At 34.7% G+C, this 8018-nt stretch overlaps 2 annotated features.

The window, feature by feature from the left end:
- Positions 6180–6805: an enhancer, noted in NCBI's record as "OCT4-NANOG hESC enhancer chr2:36497701-36498326 (GRCh37/hg19 assembly coordinates)". NCBI's record gives its function as "activates a minimal SCP1, AML or CMV promoter by ChIP-STARR-seq in naive and primed H9 embryonic stem cells {active_cell/tissue: H9 hESC(naive and primed)}" and the evidence as "EXISTENCE:reporter gene assay evidence [ECO:0000049][PMID:30033119]".
- Positions 6806–7430: an enhancer, noted in NCBI's record as "OCT4-NANOG hESC enhancer chr2:36498327-36498951 (GRCh37/hg19 assembly coordinates)". NCBI's record gives its function as "activates a minimal SCP1, AML or CMV promoter by ChIP-STARR-seq in primed H9 embryonic stem cells {active_cell/tissue: H9 hESC(primed)}" and the evidence as "EXISTENCE:reporter gene assay evidence [ECO:0000049][PMID:30033119]".

An 8018-nucleotide genomic window follows, 5' to 3' on the forward strand; every position in this document is an offset into this window, starting at 1 on the left:
ATAGAAAAGAGTATAGTCTGTTTGACAGCTATTATGCTTTGTTTAAATGCAATTTTAAATGCAGGAGTTTCTAAGTGTGTTATTCATGCCAGTGATTTCTGCAAAAAATAAACATTTTGTAAAACTGCTAAAAGACTTCACAAATTGAGCAAAGCAAAGAATTTTTTGCAGGACAAGAGGCAGCAGAATAAATTCTGAGAACTACCTAAAAGAACTACCTAAATTCACTCAGCGATGGGTACTCATTAAAAGTGCAAACTCTTGTGTTTAATCCAATACCTACTATATTAGAATCTCTTGGGGCCAGGAACCTAGAATCTGTATTTTAATAAGTACCTCAAGGTGATACTTTTCCACCTTAAATCAGTGAAAGTCAAATGAGAGAAGAATTCCCAGGATCAGGCCCTCAGGAATATCATTTAGAGGCCATGTAAAGACGATGGAAAGGACGAGAGAGGTTATAAAAAAGCCATCAGAGGCAGAAGATAAGCCAGAAGACAAGTGTCATGGAAGTCAAGAAAATGAGATTTTTTTCAAGGAGAAAGAGGCCAACTTAGATGAATAGTAATGTGTAGACTTGTAAGATGAGAACTTAATGTAACCGGCCTTCAGCTCCCAGCAACTTAAAAGTTTCTGTTTGATTTGGCAACATAGAAATAATTAATGACTTACTGTCACCAATTTCAGTCAAATGCTAGAGATGAAGGTCATAATAAAGTGGGCTAAACACTGATTGAAAAGAAAAACTGAGAACAACCCAGTACCCATCAAAAGGAGAATACACTTGTAAATATGATCAATTCACCCTATGAAATGCTATGTAAAAGTAAAAATGAATTAATTACAGCCACATAGTGCAATGTAGAAAAATCTTGATAGTATGAGTAAAAAATTATGTCTAAGAAGGCTACATTGAAGCAAGTCTTCATGTAATTTCAAAAATAATTAATATTAAATATATATTTTACACATGAATAATTATTTGATAAAATAATTTTAAGGTAAAGGAAATAATAAACATAAAATGTCAAAACTTGTTCCCTTTGATGTCAGTTAGACAGAAGAATGTGTTTTTAAAATCTATTGCACAGCATGATGACTATAATTAACAATAATGTAATGTGTATTTCAAAATTCCTAAGAGAGCAGATTTTAAATGCTCACACACACAAAAAAAAGTATTTGAGAGATAGACATGTTAGTTATCCTGATTTAATCATTCCATAATGTATACACATATCAAAACATCACACTATACCTCATGAATGTATACAATTACTATTTGTCAATTAAAATAAAATAAAAAGGAAAAAAATACTTGGTCCCTCTGAGGGATGGGAATGTAGGGGAATCGTATAAACAAACAGCACATAGAGATAGGTGAACATGTGTTGTTTCATTCCACATGTGTTTATAATATCATTTCTATCACATGTATTTATTATATCATGTAAAAGTAAATACATGGGTTCTGTTTCTGGCATGACAGCCTAAGAAGCTCCATGGAGTCCCCCCTCCCTAATGCTAGAAAAATTGGTAAAAAAAAAAAAAAATTTATGGAAAAAGAGCAACCATTTAAAGTCTCTGGAAAGGATCCTAAGGGCATACATCAAATGAAGAAATATTTGTTCAATAAAATCTACTAAAATGTGGTAAGAACAGCAAGAGCCCGCGGTTATTTCAACCAAGACCTATTCTTCCCTTTCTTTCCGCCCTCTCCTCCCCCGAGCTCTGTGAGATGGAAACTTCTCTCCAGGCTGGGACAGCTGAGAACACAGAGTTTTCTCTCCTACCCAGCTCCCAGTCAGAGGGCTCTGTTCGCAGGAAAGGCAGGGTGTCAGCGTTTCTCATCATTTCCCCAGCTACCTGTTGTTCATTTGAAGTTCAAGGTGAGTATAGCCAAGAGGTGCATGCTCCCTTCTTCTGTCCAGTCCCTACTTATAGGAGAGAGGCTCTATATTGTGTTAGATGCCACTGAAAATACTGAGCCACTAATCACCCTTACCCTGGTTCAGAGGTAGAGTTCATACACAGGGAGAGGCAAACCAAGAAGACTTGAGACCTCTGTCTGCCTCCAATGAGTGCTCAGCTCCTAAAGTGAGAGTGTGACTCAAAGAGAAGCACACCATTGTCCCCCGACTCCAGAGATTTTACCTAAGGGGAGAGAGCAGGCAGAAAAACACATATCCCCTAGCCTCTTTCCCATCAACAAAAAAACTGTCTTCATTATCAAGAGAGTGTGGAAAAATTCAGGCCTAAAAGCACCCTAAGAAACAGTGGAAGTTGTGGTGAAAGGCAACTGGGAGGAGACTGGCAGACGCATTGTACATACAGGCTACGCTGTCAGCTAGCTAGTTTGCCTAAGAGAACCAAGGAAAGAGACAGCTGGGAGGAGCCCTCTTGTGACAAACAATAACAACAACAGCAACAACCTTCAAACATTGAATTCAGAAACTATCCCTTTAAAGGTGATCAAATTTGATTGGGTAAGTCTGTGACACAGTTTATACCCAGGGCATTGTTGAAAACATGAATCAACTACCAAAATTACTGTCATCCCAGAGTGGCTATGACCACACCCAAGCCTGAAGAGCAACATGAAAGGCTTTGGACTGCATGGGAAGAATAGATGCCACTATAGTAATACAGTCAGTCAGTTAAATTTAAAAAAAAGAAACAAAAGAACAATAACAAGCCCCATAAGGGGGTGACCAGTGCTGAGTTGCTATATTATATAAAATGTCCAGATTCAGCAAAAAAAAAAAAATATGAGACATGCAAAGAAACAGGAAAACGTGACCTACACACTGGGAAAAAATCAGGCAAAAGAAACTGCCTGTTGAGAGGAACCAGATGTTAAGTTTAACAGATAAAGTCTTAAAAGAAGCCATTGTGAATAACTTCAAAGAACTAAAAGAAACCACAATTAAACAAGTAAAGAAATGTGTAATCACAAGGTCACATCAAATAAAGAATGTCAATAAAGATGTAACAATTACTAGGAAGGAGGAGGAAGAGGAAGAGGGGAGGGGGGAAGTCAGAATCCTGGAGTTGAAAAACACAACTGAAATGAAAAATTTATGAGAGAGGCTCAATAGTATATTTGAACTGGCGGAAGAAAGAATTAGAAACCTTGAAGATAGATTGATAAAAATTATGCAATTCAAGGAAAAAAGAAGAAATGAAAACAGCTTCAGAAAAGTATGAGATATTAAGTCATCAACACATACATAATGGGAGTACTAGAAGGATTACTACTAAACTATAGTAATCAAGATAAAATGGTGTTGATATAAGAATAAGCAATGGAATTTAGAGTCCAGAAATAAATCCTCACATTTATTGATTTTTTTTCACAAGGCTACCAAGACAATTCACTGGGCAAAAGAACAGTTTTTTCAACAAATGGTGCTGACACAACTGGATAGCAACATGGAAAATAATAAGTTAGACCCCTAACTCATACCATATATAAAAATTAACTCAAATTAGATCAAAGACCTAATTACAGGAGCTAAACTGTAAAACTCTTAGAAGACATAAAAGTAAATCTTTATGACCTCAGGTTTCACAATAGACTCCTAGGTATAACAGCAAAACCTAAATAGCAAATGAAAAATAGATAATTTGCACCTCATTAAGATTTAAAACATTTGTGCTTCGAAGAACACTATCAACAAAGTGAAAAAACAACCCACAGAATAGAAGAAAATCACTGATCACAAATCACCATAAAATACATGATAATAATGAAATTGAAATATTGCAAGAATTACCAAAATGTGATACAGGGACATGAAGTGAGTGCACGCTGTTAGAAAAATTGTGCCAATAGACTTGCTCAATGCAGGGTTGCTACAAACCTTCAATTAAAAAAATAAAAAGCAGTATCTGTGAAGCTCAATAAAGCAAAAATGAGGTATGTCTATATTTGCTTACTGTTCCAACCTTTAAAAGTATTAACTTATTTAATCCTCAAAACAATCCTATGAGGTAGGTATAATTAATTTCCCAATTTTTCAGATAAGAAAAAATGAGGCTTACATTAAATAAACTGCCTAACATCACAAAACTAATATTTGGAGGAGCCACCTCCCAAACAAAGGCAAAAGATGCAAATAAATCATTTAACCTAATCTTAGTATTATTACCTTAAATCATAGACTTATTTATAATAGTCTGTTAATCTGTTTTTTATTTCGAATAATATTCTAAATGAATACTTCATGTGTAATTATTTGTTGTTTTTGTACTTGTAATTCTCAATTAGAAAGTTATTTTACTAGATAAAGCAAAACTTGAATGGTGTACATCTATCTCTCTGACCATTTAGACTATAAAGCAATAGTCCACATATCACCCTCCTCAGGTTGATTAAAATGTGTATTTGTGTATGTTTAAATGTATTCATAAATACTTCTCTTATTCTACAAAGATTTAAAATGACTTCCGGGAAAGAAAATAAAAAATATCAATATATGAGTTAAAAATGTCAAGACAAAAAAATCTAAATTAGATTAAAAGATCAAGCCTCCAGATAGAAGCCTCTGGGCTTCTTGCAGGAGTGACTTTGAGCAGAGCCATGATGTATACATGAACCATTAAGAAGCACATTCTCAGAGTAAACAGGGGTGCACAATATGAAATCTCATACTGATCACATATGCCAGTGTGATTGCAGGGTTTATTTTTAGGAGTTTCATTTGGGGATCTTTTTCCAAACTTCGTGAGGCAGTTTTTCAGTTGTTTCTCATTGACCACTGATAGCTGGATGTGCCATTTTAAGCTTGATGCTAGATATATCAAGTTTACTTTTCTGAGTGTCTTTATAAAATCAATTATGACAGTATCATTTCTCTGATTTAATATGCTTCTCAAAACATTTTTTCTTTATTTTGGCACATTTTTTCTACTGTTTATTATCATGGGGAAATGAATCTGGAGAGCATTTTACACAAAATTGTCTGGTTTCTGGAACTCAATACATTTTATAGTGCTTGAAACATTTCATTGTCCGTGCTGGTCATTTTGCTTTCCTCAAACATAAACTTATATTGATTCATGATATACGATGCTCCTTTTTCATTATTCCAGCTAGGTGCACTTTCAGATTCTTTTTTCCCCAAAGTTTACTCTTCACAAAAGCATTAAATATAGCATGAGATGGAGTTCTGTGACTTTGTCACAAAAGTAATAATTTTCAGCTAAGGATGCAGTTTCAGTTTTTATTATAGTCCACATTCTGAATATTATATTTGCAGATTTGTGTCAACTTTCCCCACGTCTTTTCTCAAGAAATATATTACACTAATGTTGGCAACTTATAAATCTAGAATTATTATGTGTAAAAAATATTCTGAAGAAAAGAGATACTGGTACCTAATGCTATCCTTAAATGGGAACATAATGGAACTATACAAATATTAGTCAATTAAAATTTAAACCTGAAGCTGGAGAACCAAGTGACAAGGGTAAGAAAGATACTATTTTTCCCAGGAAACCAAATAACTTGACTTTAGGTCAACCTTGTGGAATGCAGTCAGGAAAAACAAAATAAGAAATGAGATGCAACTGGCACGAAGACACTGCAGGAAAAAAAAAAAGTGGCTCAGTAACTCCAGAGTAAGAAGAGGATACAGGTACACATTGCCCCTTTATTACATGGAAAGAAAAGCAATAATAGCAAATACCTAAGAGCCATAAGTTTAAAATTGTTTTGTTGAGGATTTTTTTTTCCAAACTGAGTCAAGCCTCACCGCTGAGATGAAAAACTTAGAAAAATGGCTAGTACCTTGAAGAAACTATCTTAAGTGATATCAATATTGTGAATTCCTATTGTACTTATTGTCTAGATACGCTAATTTAACAAAAACATATATTGTCCTGATTTTTATCTGATTGTTTCATACTTAAACACACATACTTACACCTGTATGTTAGTATATTCTAATTTGATTATAAATTTCTTGAGTGGGGAAATGATTTTATACTGATTTGACATATACCAGTTTTCAACTCAGAACAAAGAAGATAGCAGATAGTCCAAAATATTTGTTAAATTGAATTATGATGGGTAAAACATCTGATTAAATGTATGAAAAATGCCTTTCAGGAGATCTGACTTTCAGAAATGTAAAATATAATACACTGTAGCAGCTTCTATTTAATCTCGATTATTCTGATGATGTCTTAGATATATATTTTCATTATAAACTTAAGGGCTTTTAGTTTTTAATTTTTTGTTAAATATGAGGGAAAACGCAGAAAGATTTAGTCAAAGAGGGACTTTTCATTGAAAAATTGTAGACAATCAGTTTGGATTGTTCATAATTTTTAAAAAATCAGCATTCATTGTATACCTCATACAACCAGTGGACATAAAATGATTCAAGTACAGAAACAAGAGCTGCTATACCCAGAAAAGGATTTTAACTGCATTTCTCAAGGGGAGCAATGGCAATCATTCGCTTTCAGCTCTGACCCAACCTAGGAGTTCCTGTTCCATCAAAAAAGCCTCCCCAGCCCGCTAGGCAGGCAGAATGCCGATCATGAAGAACACAAAGACAGCATGCAGAGAGCTCAGAAACAGAGCTTCAAGATCTGAAAACCCAAAAGGAAGTCACTCCCAGGGTGGTAAATTATCAATACTAGAGACCAGCAGATAACAAAAAGAAATCACAGAAGAGCTGCATCCTTTCGACAGGTTAGTGAGCAGTATATTTATAATGTAGATTTAAAGCTACCGTATACCAATGGCCTGATCTTTTTTTTCTTTTTTGTGATTAGTAATAAGGGCCTGGATCTAGAGGTGGGTATAGCCCCATGAAAGACAGCACAAGACAAGGATGGTTTAAGACATACTGAAGATTATTCTAGACCAGGGCCAGCTAAAACAAAGACACAAATTGAGCCCAGCCAGAAAACAAACAAAAATATTAGTTACAAGATATTATTGTTCATCATATACAAGTATCCTGAAGTGGAGGTATTGTAGTGTGGTGGACTGAGTGCACTGAGCAGAGAGAGTTGGCTCAGATCCTGGCTCTGGTGCTTTCTATTTGATCCTGGAAACAGGAAACTAACCATCCTGTGTCTCAGTAGCGCTTACTTCACATGCTGTGAAAATTACATGCAGTTATTTGAAAGCCCATACTCTGGTAAGTGGACAGCAAGTAGTACCTGTTTTTATTATGTTCTTTATCCTGTTGTTATAGTTATTCTTCTTTTGAGACAAATGAATAGGATTTTGTTCATGGTTCTCATTCTCTAGTGTCACTTCAGTTACTTTCAAATATGCCTAAGTTTTCTTTGTAAATCCAGAGTTACAGTTACATCTCCAAAGTCAAGAAGCAAAATGAGTAAGTAAATCCTACTCCATAGAGGTGGCCTAACAAACCAGTGCCTGTTCTGGGATGCCATTGAAAATAATGGCAGGGGTTTTCACTATTTTTCTCAGCCTTTGTCTTGATAATTGTAAGAGTCCAGGAGGCCAGTGATGATTATTGGAAGGCATAGCAAAAGCACCACTGTTTTATTACAATTTTTAGATCCAAGAACATTAGACATCAGAATCTTTAAAATACCCTGTGTAGAGGGTTCAATATAAACTACGTAGTAAATGCTATTTCATCATTGAAGAAAGAAGGAACAGGAAATTATACAGGTCAATCAACTTCAAAATAATCATGTTAATTATTAAATAAAATAATGCGCTTGTTTCTCTTCAAATGATACTAAATAAAGCTAAATCCTAGACTCTATAGTAAACAGCATAATGTGAATTACAGCAAAACACTGAAGATTCAGATTTGACACTTTTAAGCCTCTAATTGACATACCATCATTTGATAAGTGAAGTTGCTCAATTACTGTTACTTCCTTTGAACTGGTGCTACTTTAGAAGACACAATTATCAGAAACGTTTGACTGTCACTGTCACTAAGTATGTGTTATTCACTTTTGAGAAGGGGAGTTAGAAGATCTGGAGCAAAAATGCCAGACAGTCAGCATCACTGAAC

This window comes from Homo sapiens, chromosome 2 (genome assembly GCF_000001405.40).
Source record: "Homo sapiens chromosome 2, GRCh38.p14 Primary Assembly".
Taxonomy (NCBI): Eukaryota; Metazoa; Chordata; class Mammalia; order Primates; family Hominidae; genus Homo; species Homo sapiens.